At 35.2% G+C, this 17689-nt stretch overlaps 1 protein-coding gene across 6 annotated transcripts in view; it reads right to left on the minus strand.

The window, feature by feature from the left end:
• Positions 1-17689, minus strand: part of ADAM2 (ADAM metallopeptidase domain 2) — a 94493-nt gene that overhangs the window by 40033 nt on the left and 36771 nt on the right. For 4 of the 6 annotated variants that reach the window (NM_001278113.2, NM_001278114.2, XM_005273468.1 and 1 more), the window contains 3 exons: positions 4902-4973; positions 4318-4484; positions 3207-3288 (listed from right to left, as the gene is read on the minus strand). The exons of the other annotated variants lie outside the window; for them this stretch is intronic. In NM_001278113.2, coding sequence (NP_001265042.1) covers positions 3207-3288; positions 4318-4484; positions 4902-4973 — 321 coding nt within the window. The remainder of the gene's footprint in view (positions 1-3206; positions 3289-4317; positions 4485-4901; positions 4974-17689) is intronic. 6 annotated transcript variants of the gene reach the window in all.

Here is a 17689-nt window from a genome sequence, read left to right on the forward strand (position 1 = left end):
GGTGAAACCCCCATCTCTACTAAAAATACAAACAATTAGCCAGGCATGGTGCCGGGCACCTGTAGTCCCAGCTACTCAGGAGGCTGAGGCAGGAGAATCGCTTGAACCTGGGAGGCGGGGTGAGTCAAGATCGCGCCACCCCATTCCAGCCTGGGTGACAGAGCGAGACTCTGTCTCGAAAAGAAAAAAAAAAAATTAAGTGAAAAATCATATGCTGATTATTCTTTCTTGTTTGTACTCAACCAAAAACTACTTGTGCTGTGGTTTCACATATAAACTTTTAGGAAGGAGCAGCATTGGAAGGATACAGACTCTAAATTGCAATCTACAGCCCTGCAGGATTAGGTAGAAAGGGTGGTGGGAATTTAAACATCAAAAGGCAGAACTTCAACTATTCTCTTCAACATCTTACTTCTGTGAACATTGTTTATAGCTGATTTTTCCAGTGAAAGGGCAGGCAAAATAACTGTGGAGAATAAGAAAGAATACTAGAAAAGCTTTCTTCCAATTGTCGTTACTAAAGAGACCATTTTTCTCTGCCCATGAGGCACAAATTGTCCAGTAAATTATGGCATTTTCTTCTTCCTGGAAGCTAGCGTGCCTCTAATTTAAAAATTTTGTTGTGATTGTTGAGATGGAGTCTTGCTCTGTTGCCCAGGCTGGAGTGCAGTGGTGCAGTCCTGGCTCCCTGTAGCCTTGAACTCCTAGGCTCAAGTGATCCTCCTACCTCAGTTAGGACTACAGGGGCCTTCCACCATGCCTGGCGAATATTTATATTTTTTTAAATTATTGTAGAAATGAGTTCTTACTATGTTGCCCATGCTGGAAGCCCGCCCTGTAGAGAAAATCAGTTCTGCTCTCCTCTTTGTTAATCAGTGAAGGCCTTGCACTCTCCATGGGAGAGTCTTGTGATTTCTTAGTGTGGCATGTGATGAAATAAACAAGCCAAATTCCAGCATTTGAGACCAGATAAATCACTTGACCATAAGTATAAGTCACATTCTCCAAACTTGTTCATAAATATTGAAGATTAATTTTTGTTGAGCATTTTCTTCATATGTTGTTGGCCATTTGTATGTCTTCTTTTGAGAAGTGTCTGTTCATGTCTTTTGCCCATTTTTTAATGGGGTTGTTTGTTTTTTGCTTGTTCAATTGTTTCACCACCTTATAGATTCTGGATATTAGGCCTTTGTCAGATGTATAGTTTGTGCATATTTTCTCCCTTTCTGTAGGTTGTCTGTTTACTCTGTTGATATTTCTTGTTGTGCAGCAGCTCCTTTGTTTAATTAAATCTCACTTGTAAATTTTTGCTTTTGTTGCAATTGTTTTTGAGGACTTAGTCATATATTATTTGGCAATGCCAAAGTCCAGAATGGTGTTTCCTAGGTCTTCTTCTAGAACCCCTTATAGTCTGAGGAGTTACATTTAAATATTTAATCCATCTTGAGTTAATTTTTGCATATGGTGAAAGGAAGGCATCTAGTTTTATTCTTCTGTGTATGGCTAACCAGCTAATCATTAGAGAAATGCAAATCAAAACCACAATGAAACACCATCTCACACCAGTCAGAACGGCTCTTATTACAAAATAAAAAACAACAGATGCTGATGAGGCTATGAGGAAAACAGACTGCTTATACACTGTTAGGGGGACTAGAATTAGTTCAGAAACTGTGGAAAGCAGTTTGGAGAGTTCTCAAATAACTTAAAACAGAACTACCATTCAATCCAGCAACCCTATTACTGGGTATATACTCGAAAGAAAATAAGTCAATCCCAGCACTTTGGGAGACCAAGGCGGGGGGATCACATGAGGTCAGGAGTTCAAGACCAGCCTGGCCAATGTGGCAAAACTTTGTCTCTACCAAAAATACAAAAATTAGCTGGGCTTGGTGGTGAGCACCTGTAATCCCAGCTACTTGGGAGACTGAGGCTGGAGAATTGCCTGAACCCAGGGAGGTGGAGGTTGCAGTGAAACGAGATTGTGCTATTGCACTCCAGCCTGGATGACAGAGACTCTGTCTCAAATAAAAAAAAAAAAAAAAAGAAAGACAGAAAGAAAATAAATCATTCTACCAAAAAGACACTGGCACTTATATGTTTATCACAGCATTATTTACAATAACAAAGACATGGAATCAGCCTAAGTGTCCGTAAATGGTGGATCGGATAAAGAAAATGTGATACATATAAACCATGGAATACTATGCAGCCATAAAAAGAATCATAGCCTTTGCAGCAACATGGATGCAGCTAGAGACTATTATTCTAAGTGAATTAACTCAGGAACAGAAAACCAAATACTGCGTGTTCTCACTTATAAGTGGGAGCTAAACATTGGGTCCACTTAGACATTAAGATGGTAACACTAGAAACCAGGAACTACCGGGGGTGGAGGAAGGGTTGAAAAACTAACTAGTGGGTACTATGCTCAGTACCTGGGTGACAGAATCAATCATATCCGAAACCTTAGCATCTCACAATATACCCAGGTGACAAACTTGTATATGTATGCCCTAAATCTAAAATAAAAGTTGAAATTATTTTTATCTCCATTTAATTGATTCATCTCTTTATTGCTTCACTTAGCTTCACTTCATTTGTTCATTGCCTCTAAGAAACTCCTGCAGATATTATACAAACACTCACACAACAAAAAGGCAAGTTCTGTTTGTCAGAATAGTGATAGTATTATGAAATAACGGCAAAAATATATCAGTTTTGAATACACTAACATTCTCTACTAGATAATTAATGTCAATTAGGACATTTGGTTCCGTTATTCTTTACTTATACCCTATGAAGCATTTTAAGGCGACTGATACTTTCAAATGTTTTATTTTAATCTGGTTAATAATTATGTTCACTACATAATTAGGAAAACATATAAAATCTAAGTTTTAGCCGAAATTAATTATTAAATATTAAGATTATGAAAACTTGAAGAGCACTTTACAGTAAGACTAAACTAGTTCACTACCTTAACTTTCTAGAAAGGATATCTTGAACTCATGATAGGAAATTGAAAAATTTTTATACATAGTGAATTGAATGAGTACTTCTTATAGTTTAAACATTTCTGTCAGCAACAGTGACAAAGATGCTTAGAACAATGCAAATTTTAATACACATAAAAATTAAATATGAAAATGTGTAACTGTATACTAATTTATGTAGCATACTTTCTATACATAACCATACCATACCAGAACAACACCTCCTGCATAGTTTGCATCACACATCTTCCCTTGAAAGGTTGCACCAACATAATTTGACTTTTCTCTGTAACTTAAGTTTAAAAAGGGATCATAATCATATAATTTTGTAAAAATTAATATGAATTTTTATAAGACAAATTTTACATTTATGATAATCATTAATATTTACATCTAACATTAATGTAACATAGCATAAGATGTGACTAAATCTTTCTGCTTCTTTTAAAAACAATAAAATAAATTTTAAAAACAAAGTGTATTTTATATGGATTTCTGTAACATAACAAAGATTCATTTTATGTAGATTTAAAAAAACTAAAACAGAAAAACTGAAGAAAAAACAAAAAATAATAAAAATAAATAAAATTCCTTAAAAGTAAAAAGCTAAGGCAATGCAACTTGTTAATGAGCAGAATCACTCTATGGACTAAAGTCTCTCATTATTCAGACAAAATTAGCCTTCTAGAGACATGAAAAAGCATGTCATATTTATGGGACAGAAGATAAAAAGTAAAATGTTTAAAACTCCATGTTTAATCTTAAAAACTCTCTCTCTCTATATATATATATACACATATATATACACACATAATATATGTATATATATTCTGAATATTGATAAAAGAAAAACAGAGTCTATTAAATAGAAAGGAAGGCTAATGTACTAAAACCTTAAGCACAATGCAGATATATTAGAGATATTAAAACATAGTGTTTCAATTACTTTGCTTACTTTTTAATTTACAACAACAAATCATAACAAGAAGGCTGAATTACTATATTTATAGAATTCAGATGTTTCTCCAAATAGATATTGTGAAAATTTTATGTATTGTGTGAGATTTTTAATAATGTGGTATATACCCTAGGGAAAGAAGTAATATGGGAACAAGATTGGGGAGTGAGTTTTAACTTCAAACCAATAAATAAATTGATATCAGTAATTCCAATATAAATACCATGTTGTGAAAAATATTTACATGGCGTGTGTGAGAAAAAAATAGATTTTTTTAATACACATTTATCAACAGTAAGATATTCGGTCAAATTGCATAAATTTTCTTCAGATAAACTTTATATAATGTCAAGATATCCTTACACAAGTAAAAATGCCACATCATGAGGACGTAAAACAAGATAAGATGTTTTCCATCTTAAAAATGTGTGTAATAACTCATTAGCTTCTCCAGTGGTTGCAATTTTATTTTCATCTATCCAAAGCTCCAATGAAGACAGAATAATTGTAATATTAAATGAAACAAAAATCTAAAATAGAAAACATACAAAAGTGTGCTCAAAAGTCACAGTTTTTAAAAATTAGATATATATGTTTGAAAACAAATTTATGATAAATATTAAACAACTAAACTATAAGTCTGCATTTCATCTTTTAAAGTAGATTAGTAAGTTTAAAATGTTACTAATAATAAAAGTAATACTTGAGATTTTATAATGCTTGCATTTAAGGAAGCCCCATACCCCATGCTTTATATAATTTAAGTCTTACAGTAGCCAAATTATGTGCATACAATTATTATTCCCACTTCAGATAAGTAAAATTTAAAATAAAACTTAATTTCCCTTATGCCACACAACGTGTGGATTCATGTAGTGTCATAATGAGGTGTAGAAATTGTTTTAGTAACACAAGAAGTGCAAAAGTACTAAGAAGCAAAGACTTACAGCATTCGTCAATCCAATCAACTGGAAAACTTTTTGAGCGACAACAGTTGTATCAGACCCCATATGATTATACTGTAAAATATTATTACATTTTAGATATAAATATATATTGCTTAACATTTAATGATTGTTATTGTTTCATTTAAAATTCAATTTGGTGAAGTAATAAATTATTTAAATTACAAACATATTAGTTTTTAGACATTATTTTCTTATACAAATTATATGTTATATGTTCAGTATAAAAACTGAAAAATATGAATTGGAATTTATATTTTTTCCATAGAAATTTAAAAAGTTTAAACATTATAAAAAGGTATAATTCTACTATCAACAAAATAATTATAATAATTATTAAAAGAAAAGTTTAGCTCTAAACCGGAATGTTTAGATGTGTGTATAGGAGACATAGTACATTTTTGAAGATACAATTCACCTAAAAGTAAAGGAACTTAAAAGATATACCATACAAACATCACTAATAAGAGAGCTAGGATGTCTATCAGGAAGATATAAAAATTATAAACATGTATGCAACCAAAAACAGAGCCAGAGAATTACACAAGGCAAAAAATAACAGAATTGAAGGGAGAAATAGAAAATTTAACAATCGTATTTAAAGACTTAAGTAAACAGCTTTCAATAATAGAATACCTAGGCAAAAATATCAACAGAGATATTGAAGACTATAACAAAATTATAAGGCAATAGATATCTATAGCACATTTCACTACAAAACAGCAAATATGCGTTTTTTAAGTGCCCATGGATCATGATCCAGAAATAAAGCACAGAAAAATGAAAATTATTCAGAATGTCCATAACAATTTTAAATAAGAACAAAGTTGGAGGATTCACATATCTCAATTTCAAAACTAACTATAAACTACAGTAACCAAGACAATTTGTTACTGGCCTTTTATTAGATTTACAGATCAGTGAAATTGAGTGCCCAGAAATAGATTCTAACATTTACAGTCAATTAATATTTGAAGAAGAATCCAAGAAAATCAAATGGAGAAAGATTAAGTTTTCAAAATTAAAAACTTCCTGCTTCAAATGACACCATCAAGAAAACAAAAAGACAACCTTCAGAAATGGTAAAAATATTTGCAAAATATATATCCCATAAAGATCTAGTATATAGAATATATAAAGAACATTTACAACTAACAACAAAAAGGCAACCTAATTAAAACATGTGCAAATAATGTGAATAGACATTTCTCCAAATAAGATATGCAAATAACTAGTACACAAATGCAAATATTCTCAACTTCATTGTGTATTAGGGAAATGTAAATCAAAACCACAAAGAGAAACAAATTCACATCCATTAGAATCACTGTAATTCAAAAGACACACATTAACAAGTGTTGGTGAGGATGTGAAGAAATTGGAATTCTTATGCATGCTGATGGAAATATAAAATGGAGCAACCATTTCTGAAGACAGTTTGTCAAACGTGAAAAGGAGTTATCTTATAATCCAAAAATTCACAGTTCTCATTCTTCACACCTACCCAATACGAGTTAAAATGCATGGCCACACAAAAATTTGTACACAAATGTTTATAGTAATGTTATTCATAATAGCTTAAAAGTGGAAAAAGTGAAATGTCCATCAACTAATGAATAGGTAATCAAATTGCGACACAATAGGCTATTTTACAGTAAGAAGAAACGCAGTACTAATCCATGCCATAACATGTATAAACCTGAAAATCACTACGGTAAATGAAAAAATAGTCATAAATCATTACATATTGTATGATACCATTTAAATGAAGTGTGCAAAACAGAAAAATCTGTATGTTCAAAAAGTAAATTAGTGATTGCTTGGCCTGTGGTACAGGAAAGTAAGGGCAGAGGGATTGGGAGTAATTGCTAATGGATGCAAAGTCTTTTTATAAGGTGATGAATATTCTAAAATTAGATTATTGTTATTATTGTTTGCACAAATCTGTAAATATACTAAAAACCATGGAATTTTACATTTCACATAGTTTAACATCATAAAATATAAGTTACATTTCAATAAAGATTTTTAAAAACAACATCAAAAAAGAAGCAGTTAGAACTTCCAAATCTTCTCCTCTTTTCAAGGAGATCAGTGGTACATCTCTCCACTATAAGCAGGTTCTAATAAAGGGCCTTTGGAAAGGGAACAACTCCTGAAAAGAGAGGATTAAATGTAATATTTTAATGTCCCCAATTAACACTCCAACCATGTCTAATTAATAGTGCTTTTCCCCCATGACAAAAATATGAAGATACAGAGCTTACCTAAAGAGCAGAGTGCTCCCCACTTGAAAATCCCATGCATCTAAACAGTTTTCAACTTTGATTTTAACAACTAAATATAGAAATATAATTATAACACTTACAATTTAAAAAAAAAAAAGGATGTAAGGCCTCGAATGGGGTGACTTATGCTAAAGTTTCATGTTAATAAACTAAAACCTAAGTTGTTTACTTGAAAGAGCTGACCTTTCAAGAATCCAGGGAGAGATAATAGCCAAGCCAGCCAGTTTTAATAAAAACAGAACATTCTCAGTAACCAATCAAAAGGGGCCCAGTTAATCTAAGTTAGCATAGTAAGAATGTCCTCTCTGCTTTAACCCATATAAAGAATGTAGCCTGATGCTAACAAGTCTATTTTTGCACTATTGCTGTTTCCTCATTTCTGATAAATCTGCCTGACACAGCTTATGTCTACTGGGTGCTGCCTGGTTCATGAATTGTATTGAAAATCAGTTAGATCTTTGAAACTCAGCTTGTTAGGATTCTGCTCTCTGACAGTCTTTGAAGATGGTATCTGAAGGAGGGTTGTGGCTATCCCTGTAACCCATTAGGTATGCAGATGAGGTGACTGCTGGCTCCTTTAGACTTCTCTGCCTTCCTCACCAAACCCAGAATTTGTCAGTAAGTTCCTCTTGAATTTCAGCTGTACTCTCTTCGTTGAGCTCTCTGATACTTTTGGCTTTCCAGTTCAAGGTCCTTTTGTGTTGTAGCAAAGCATATGACCTTTGGGTGTTTTGTGGTGCTCCATTAGACAGACAAGGGCTGAAGCTTTAGAGGTAAAAGATAGCTGTTGCCACATTCACAGGGATTTTGTTTCTCTCCTCCTTGTTTCTTATCTTATATGCAAAGGTAAAAAAAATCTTTGACTATATTGGTCAAAGGAATCTCAGAGCCGAGCCACAACTTGACTGATGGGCATGGATCAAACACTTAAAAACTGTTAAAGTGTCTGCCACCTAAAACTAGGATTCCTGTGTTAGGATAAGTTGGTGACAGAATGGGTTAGCTTGACACTAGTGCACTTGCCACTTGCCAGCTTCAAGAAAAATTTCCATTCAGTGAAGAATACTATAAAATATCACACAACACAGCAGTGTAGCACTACCATCTTGGGCTTTTTTTTTTCTCAGCTCCAAGAAACCCAAGGCACAATACAAGAATGGGATCTTTACATTCTAAAGTATCCAGTACTCTATCTTCTGGTATACCTGCTTCTCTTATGCTCAAAATGTATGTTCCTGGAAGCTGTAAATATTTACAAAAAAAAATGGCAAAACCTTACTAAACATAATTTAGAATTACAATGGCTTTTATGAGGAATGTTATAATTGCACAAAATCATCCATCTAAGAGGTGCACATGAAAATAAGCACTCCCAAATTAGGCATAGAGAATGGTACATCTATTTTCATTGATATGAAGTAGTTTCTATAAGACCTCAGGATTCTAAAATAGCTTCACTAAAATATTATTTACAAAAGACTGTAAGACTGATGAAACCCCTATTGTCCCTCTCTTTCCTCCTCTGCTTACTAATATTTTCACTTAGTCGAATTCCCTCCTCAAAGAACAAAATAAAGGTTGATAAATGCCTTGTGAAGTTAGGCCCTCAAATCAATCAGATGTGCTTCTTTAACCACCTTTATATCTTGGTCAAGATCCTGAGCTCAGAGCAGTGGCTAAAGGCATTGCTGTTCTACTGGAAAATCCCAAGAAACCATCCCCAAAGTATTTTGTCAAAAAAAAATTGTGAAAGGACTGCAAATCAATTTTATAAATAGAAAAAGAATGAACCAGCCTCTGACTATAAGTTAAGATTAAAAGCACTATTTTTAAAACATTCTGGTCTATGCATGTTGAGCCCATACATAGAAAATGCTTTTTCTGCCCTCCGTGGTAATAGGTTTAACTCTGAATTCAGTAATCTAGTTAAAAAACACAAACTGGGTCGGGAAGACAGTGATATAGCCAAAATATGCCTTTATGGCACAATGACTAACTCTAGTCAGTTATTTTGAGACCTCTTTATAAGAAAAAGTTGCATAAAATCTCCATGTATAAGGTATCCTCCCTCCCTGCACCAGGACTAAAATCATAGAAACTCTTACTTGGGAGAAAAGGCATTGGCTTAAATCTACATAGCAAGCCTTGCATTTATGTTTGAGATTCTTTTCACGATCATGTTGTCTTAATGGACTTTTACCCCCACCTTATTTATTTCAGCAAATGATAGTATTTAGGTCTGAAGTCTACGTTCTGTGCCTTTTAAATGTTAATTCTCTACCTTATCATACTTAAATGCCATCCCTTTAGAAATGCAAAATGAGAGCAGCCATCTGTAGATTGTTATTAAGAAATAGAATGAATAAAATGGACCTTAATTGGGTTAAAACAAAAGTTTAAATGTAACATTACCAAGGGATGGATGGACCAAAGGGACACCTTGGCTACTTCCCTAACATTAAAGGGTGTTAAGCAAGTCTGCCCTATTTATCCATTGGGAGAATTTTTTAAGCTAGAAGGTAGAGATTACAATGAGAAACCTGACTTGTAACCACTTGAGGCAATGGTCAGGTAGGTTAATCAAGATCAAGACTGAAAAAAGGACAAGGGTCCTTTGGCTCAACTCACTGATAAGAACTCAAAGTCTTTTGCATAAGAGTAGGTAAAATGATCAGGGCAAAAGAAATTTCCAGACTCCTTGGTATGGCAGCCTCATGTGCTGTGGTGCCAAAATCTATTGGTAAAGCCCTCACTTGGGCTACAATTTGATTGAGAGAACATAAAAATATAAAGATTGATGGGTTTCGAACTGGAGAATTTCTATTTGAGGGACATTAACTAAAGCTGCCATGTCACATTTCCTCAGACTAAGGAAAGTCTATACAGCCCATAATGTCCAACAATGGGCAGAAATAGCCTCGTCAGAGAAATAGTTTGATAGAGAAGTGAAATGGAAATTTGGAAGATTTGTTGTCTAAAAAGGAAGAGGGCAACGACAATTGGAAAAGTGACAAATAAAAAATCTTAAAAGTCTGTTTTAGCCATCTGGGTGAATAATCTTGTTCCATTAGCTACAAATATAATTCTGATCCAGATTTGCATGTGTTTTTATGAACTAGTGAGTTTTGTGTGTTACTGTATCAGGCATATGGCTAAAATTTTAGACTAAAAACTGCAAGACCTGCTTCTGTGTATGTTGATGTATGCCTTGTAGTATTTATGTATGTTTGTATGTCATATGTACAGAGTATTTTTCTATCTTTAAATGGTATTGCCAACATTAATATATGTTAAGGATCTCTAGTTAATTGACTTGAAGAAAATAAGTGTTTATATAAATGAAATATTCCTAAAACTGCTAGAAATATGGGAATGAATTCAAATGCTTTTCATGTACACTTGTTTGTGGATAACTTCAGTGCATGAAAAGTTAGCTATAGCATGCTGGTTTATTTAAAATAAGGGAGGAGACCACCCCTCATATAGTCCTTTACCCAATTTCTGCCTCCAAAGAAAGAAGAAGTAAAAACTAAAAGGCAGAAATGAAATCCACAGGAAGACAGCCTGGCACCGCACCATGGGACTGGTAGTTAAAGATCGACCCCTGACCTAACTGGTTATGTTATCTATAGATTCCAGGCATTGTATGGAAAAGCACTGTGAAAATCCCTATCCTGTTTTGTTCTGATCTAGTTACTGGTGCATGCAGCCCCCAGTCACATACCCCCTGCTTGCTCAATCAATCATGACCCTCTCATGCACACCCCCTTAGAGTTGTGAGCCCTTAAAAGGGACAGGAATTGCTCACTCAGGGAGCTTGACTCTTGAGACAGGAGTCTTGCCAATGCTCCTGGCTGAATAAACCGCTTCCTTCTTTAACTCGGTGTCTGAGGGGTTTTGTCTGCGGCTTGTCCTGCTACCAAAATAGACAAGTCTTTGGAGTTGTCAGCATTTTCTACCTAGGTTTCCTAATATAATAATTTCATGTTATCTCTATATTATGCAATTCATAAACAAGAAAAATAATTCAATGATGAATAGCTTTGTTTTGTGTTATACTTTATCTACTAAAAAAAAATCTCCCTAAATATCTTTGGTAATTTACACTTTTAAAGTTTTGCTAAGTTAAGTTGAAGAATAGATAATTATGGACTATCTAGATCATTTTCAAATAAGGCAAATGGTGAAACATCAATTTCTGAACATATGTGTAAGCTGTAAACACAAAATAAAATTCTAAGGCCACCAATCATCTGAATGACCCCTCCTCTTGGCTATAGCATTCCAAAATTAATCTGAAAAACAAGTTCAGGCCATGATGGGAAGAGGGGTGGGGGTCAGACATGCCTCAGTATACCTCCTGCTTTTTAGAATTCAGGAAAAGACAACAGCACAGACCTTAAGTCTGATAAGAAACATTTACAATCTATTCTCTCTGAAGCCTGCTACCTGGAGGCTTCATCTGCATGATAAAACCTTGGTCTCCACAACCCTTAATTGGAAACCAGACATTTCTTTCTATTGATAACTCCTTCAATCATTTAACAATCAGAAAATTTTTAACTCTACCTATGACCTGGAAGAACCTGCTTCAATTTTTACTGCCCTTCCAGACTGAACCAATGTAAATCTTACATATATCATTTGATGTATTATGTCTCCCTAAAATCCATAAAAGCAAGCTGTACCCCAACCACCATGGGCACAAGTCATCAGGACCTCCTAAGACTGTGTTAAGGGCATGTTCTTAACCTTGGCAAAACAAACTTTCTAAATTGATTGGTACCTATCTCAGATACTTTGTGGTTCACAAAGTTTATATACTTTTGGCATCTTGTTTTTATATGGTATAAAGAAGCTAAAAATATTTGGATTTGTAAATAGACATGAAAAATTGTACCATAAAGAAACATGTTTCTCACTGCACTTACATAATAATTAGGCCCAAGTTTAATGAGACTAGATTTATTCTGCAAACCCAATGGTCTTTCCTTGATTATCTTTAGTAGAAATGGGGAAGCTGTAGAGAGAAAAAGAACATGTGTCAGAAATAGAGTATATACACTCATTATTAGATTCTCTTTTTTTTTCCTTTATTTCTTCTTCTAAAAAAAAAACAGGATACATGTGCAGAATGTGCAGGTTTATTACATAGGTATATGTGTGCCATGGTGGTTTCCTACACCTATTGACTCATCCTCTAAGTTCCCTCCCCTCAGCCCCCACCCCACAACAGGCCCTGGTATGTGTTGTTCCACTCTCTGTGTCCTTGCATTCTCAATGTTCAGCTCCCACTTATGAGGGAGAACATGTGGTGTTTGGTTTTCTGTTCCTGTGTTAGTTGGCTGAGGATGATGGCTTCCAGCTTCATCCATGTCCCTGCAAAGGACACAATCTCGTTCCTTTTTTAGGTAGCATAGTATTCCATGGTGTATATGTACCACGTTTTCTTTATCCAGTCTATTATTGATGGGCATTTGACTTGGATCCATGTCTTTGCTATTGTAAGTAGTGCTGCAATAAACATACATGAGCATGTGTCTTTAGGGTAGAATGATTTATATTCCTTTGAGTATATACCCAGTAATGGGATTGCTGGGCCAAATGGTATTTTGGGTTCTAGACCCTTGAGGAATCTCCATACTGTCTTCCACAATAACTGAACTAATTTACATTCCCACCAATAGTGTAAAAGTGTTCCTATCTCTCCACAGCGTCTCCAGCATCTATTATTTCCTGACTTTTTAATAATCGCCATTCTGACTTGTGTGACATGGTATCTCATTGTAGTTTTGACTTGAATTTCTCTGATTATTAGTGATGTGGAGCTTTTTTTTCCATATGTTCATTGGCCAGATAAATGTCTTCTTTTGAGAAGTGTCTGTTCATATCCTTTGCCCACTTTTTGATGGGGTTGTTTTTTTTCTTGTAAATATGTTTAAGTTCCTTGTAAATTCTGGATATTAGACTTTTGTCAGATGGGTAGATTGCAAAAATTTTCTCCCACTCTGTACTCCGTAGGTTGCCTGTTCACTCTGATGATAGTTTCTTTTGCTGTGCAGAAGCTCTTTAGTTTATTTAGATCCTATTTGTCAATTCTGGCTTTTGTTGCAATTGCTTTTGGTATTTTTGTCAAGAAGTCTTCACTCATGCCTATTTCCTGAATGGTATTGCCTAGGTTTTCTTCTAGGGTGTTTATGGATTTGGGTTTTACATTTAAGTCTTTAATCCACCTTAAGTTAATTTTTGTATAAGGTGTAAGGAAGGGGTCCAGTTTCAGTTTTCTGCATATGGCTAGCCAGTTTTCCCAGCACCATTTACTGAATCGGAGATCCTTTCCTCATTGCTTGTTTTTGTCAGGATTGTCAAAGACCAGATGGTTGTAGATGTGTAGAGTTATTTATGAGGTCTCTGTTCTGTTCCACTGGTCTATATGTCTGCTTGGTACCAGTACCATGCTGTTTTGCTTACTGTAGCCTTGTAGTATGGTTTGAAGTCAGGTAGCTTGATGCCTCCAGCTTTGTTGTTTTTGCTTAGGATGTTCTTTGCTATATGGGGTCTTCCTTGATTGCATATGAAATTTAAAATAGTTTTTTCTAATTCTGTGAAGAATGTCAATGGTAGTTTTATGTGAATAGTATTGAATCTATAAATTACTTTGGGCAGTATGGCCATTTTCATGATATTGATTCTTCCTATCAATGAGGATGGAATGTTTTTCCATTTGTTTGTGTCCTCTTTTATTTCCTTGACTTTTATTTCTCTTTGAAGAGGTCCTTCACATCCTTTGTTAGCTGTATTCCTAGGTATTTTATTTTCTTTGTAGCAATTGCAAATGGGAGTTCATTTATGATTTGACTCTCTGTTTGCCTATTGTTGGTATAAAGGAATGCTTGTGATTTTTGCACATTGATTTTGTATCCTGAGATTTTGCTGAAGTTGTTTATCAGTTGAAGAAGCTTTTGGGCTTAGATGGTGGGGTTTTCTAAATATAAAATTATTCATCTGCAAACAGACAACTTCACTTACTCTCTTTTTATTTGAATACACTTTATTTCTTTCTCTTGCCTGATGGCCCTGGCCAGAACTTCCAATACTATGTTGAATAGGAGTAGTAAGACAGGGCATCCTTGGCTTGTACAAGTTTTCAAAGGGAATGCTTTCAGTTTTTGCCCATTCAGTATGATATTGGCTGTGGGTTTGTCATAAATAGCTCTTATTATTTTGAGATATATTCCATCAATACCTAGTTTATTGAGGGTTTTTAACATGAAGGGATGTTGAATTTTATCAAAGGCCTATTCTGCATCTAGTGAGATAATCATATGGTTTTTGTCTTTGGTTCTGTTTATGTGATGGATTACATTTATTGATTTAGGTATGTTGAACCAGCCTTGCATCCCAGGGATGAAGCTGGCTTGATTTTGGTGGATAAGGTTTTTGATGTGCTGTTAGATTTGGTTTGCCAGTATTTTATTGAGGATTTTTGCATTGATGTTCATCAGGGATATTGGCCTGAAGTTTTCTTTTTTTGTTGTGTCTCTTCCTGGTTTTGGTATCAGGATGATGCTGGCTTCATCAAATGACTTAGGGAGGAGTCCCTCCTTTTCAATTGTTTGGAATAGTTTCAGAAGTAATGGTACCAGCTCCTCTTTGTATTTCTGGTAGAATTCAGCTGTGAGTCTGTCTGGTCCTGGGCTTTTTTTGGTTGTCAGGCTATTAACTACTGCCTCAATTTCAGAGCTTGTTATTGGTCTATTCAGAGACTCAACATCTTCCTGGTTTAGTCTTGGTAGGGTGTATGCATCCAGGAACTTATCCATTTCTTCTAGACTCTCCAGTTTTTTTTGCATAGAGGTGTTTATACTATTCTCTGATGGTAGCTTGTATTTCCATGGGGTCAGTGGTGATATCCCCTTTATCATTTTTTTATTGTGTCTGGTTCTTCTCTCTTTTCTTCTTTATTAGTCTAGCTTGCAGTCTGTCTATTTTGTTAATTTTCTTCAAAAAACCAGCTCCTGGATTCATTGATTTTTTTGGAGGGGTTTTCATGTCTCTCTCTCCTTCAATTCTTCTCTGATCTTAGTTATTTCTTGTCTTCTGCCAGCTTTTGAATTACTTTGCTCTTGCCTCTCTAGCTCTTTTAATTGTGATGTTAGACTCAATTTGAGATCTTTCTAGCTTTCCAACATGGGCATTTCGTGCTATAAATTTCCCTTTTAACACAGCTTTAGCTGTGTCCCAGAGATTCTGTTAGGTTGTCTCTTTGTTCTTACTGGTTTCCAAGAACTTCTTGATTTCTGCCTTAATTTCATTATTTACCCAGTAGTCATTCAGGAACAGGTTGTTCAATTTCCATGACATTGTGTGGTTTTGAGTGAGTTTCTTAATCCTGGGTTCTAATTTGATGGCACTGTGGTCTGAGAAACTGTTATGATTTCAGTTCTTTTGCATTTGCAGAAGAGTGTTTTACTTCCAATTATGTGGTTGATTTTAGAATAAGTTCCATGTGGCACTGCAAAGAATGTATATTGTGTTGATTTAGGGTAGAGAGTTCTGTAGACATCTACTAGGTTCACTTGGTCCAGAGCTAATATCAACTCCTGAATATCCTTGTTAATTTTCTATCTTGTTGATCTGTCTAATACTGACAGTGGGGTGTTAAAGTCTCCCACTATTATTGTGTGGGAGTCCAAGTCTCTTTGTAGATCTCTAAGAACTTGCTTTATGAACCTGGGTGCTCCTGTATTGGGTGCATATATATTCAGAATAGTTAGCTCTTCTTGTCAAATTGTTCCCTTTACCCTTATGTAGTGTCCTTCTTTGTCTTTTCTGATCTTTGTTGGTTTAAAGTCTGTTTTGTCAGAGACTAGGAATACAACCATTTTTGTCTTTCCATTTACTTGGTAAATATTCCCCATCCCTTTATTTTGAGCCTGTGTGTCTTTGCACGTAAGATGGGTCTCCTGAGTACAGCACACCAATGAGTCCTGACTCCTTATCCAATTTGCCAGCTTGTGTCTTTTAATTGGGACATTTAGCTCATTTACACTTAAGATTACTATTGCTATGTGTGAATGTGATCCTGTCACATGGTGCTATTTGGTTATTTTGCACACTGGTTGATGCAGTTTCTTTGTAGTGCCATGGGTCTTTAAGTTTTGGTGCGTTTTTGCAGTGGCTGCTACTGGCTTTTCCTTTCCATATTATGTGCTTCCTTCAGGAGCTTTTGCAGGACAGACCTGGTAGTAAAGAAATCCCTCAGCATTTGCTTGTCTGGAAAGACTTTTATTTCTTTTTCACTTATGATGCTTAATTTGGCTGGATATTAAATTCTGGGTTGAAAATTCTTTTCTTTAAGAATGTTGAATATTGGCTCCCAATTTCTTCTGGCTTGTAGAGTTTCTGCTGAGAGGTCTGCTGTTAGTCTGATGGGCTTCCCTTTGTAGGTGACTTGGTGTTTCTCTCTGGCTGCCCTTAACAGTTTTTCCTTCATTTCAACCTTGGAGAATCTGATGACTATGTGTCTTGGAGTTGATTTTCTCATGGTGTACTTTAACAGTGTTCTCTGTATTTCCTGAATTTGCATGTTGGCCTGTCTTCCTAGGTTAAGGAAGTTCTCCTGGATAATATACTGAAGTGTGTTTTCCAGCTTGCTTCCATTCTCCCCATCTCCTTCTGATACTCCAATCAATCTTAGGTTTAGTCTTTTTATGAAGTCCCATATTTTTTGAAGGCTTTGTTCATTCCTTTTCATTCTTTTCTCTGTTCTTGTCTGGATGTCTTGTTTCAGTAAGGTGGTCTTCAAACTCTTATATCCTTTCTTCTACTTGGTCAATTCAGCTGTTGATACTTGTGTATGCTTCACGAAGTTCTCGTGCTGTGTTTTTCAGCTCCATCAGATCGTTTATGTTCCTCTCTAAACTGGTTATTCTAGTTAGCAATTCCTCTGACCTTTTATCAAGGTTCTTAGCTTCTTTGCATTAGGTTAGAACATGCTCCTTTAGCTAATCATAGTTTTTTATTAACCATCTTCTGTCAATTACTCCATATGATCCTCTGTGCCAGTTCTGTGCCCTTGATGGAGAGACACTGCAATCATTTGGAGGAGAAGAGGCTCTCTGGGCTTTTGGGTTTTCAGCATTTTTTTCATTGATTATTTCTCATATTTGTGAGTTTGTCTAGTTTTGATCTTTGAGGCTGCTGACCCTTGGATGAGGTTTTTGTGGGGGCCTTTTGTTGTTGATGCTGTTGTTGCCACTTTCGGCTTGTTTTTCTTTCAATAGTCAGGTCCCTCTTCTGTAGGGCTGCTGCAGTTTGCTGGGGGTTCACTTCAGACCCTATTCATCTGATTTGCTCCTGTGCATGGAGATGTCACTCAAGAAGGCTGGAGAGCAGCCAAGATGGGTACCTTCTCCTTCTTCTGGGACCTCTGACCTTGAGGGGCACCAACCTGATGCCAGTAGGATTACTCCTCTATAG

The sequence above is a fragment of the Homo sapiens genome, chromosome 8 (genome assembly GCF_000001405.40).
Source record: "Homo sapiens chromosome 8, GRCh38.p14 Primary Assembly".
Classification (NCBI taxonomy): Eukaryota; Metazoa; Chordata; class Mammalia; order Primates; family Hominidae; genus Homo; species Homo sapiens.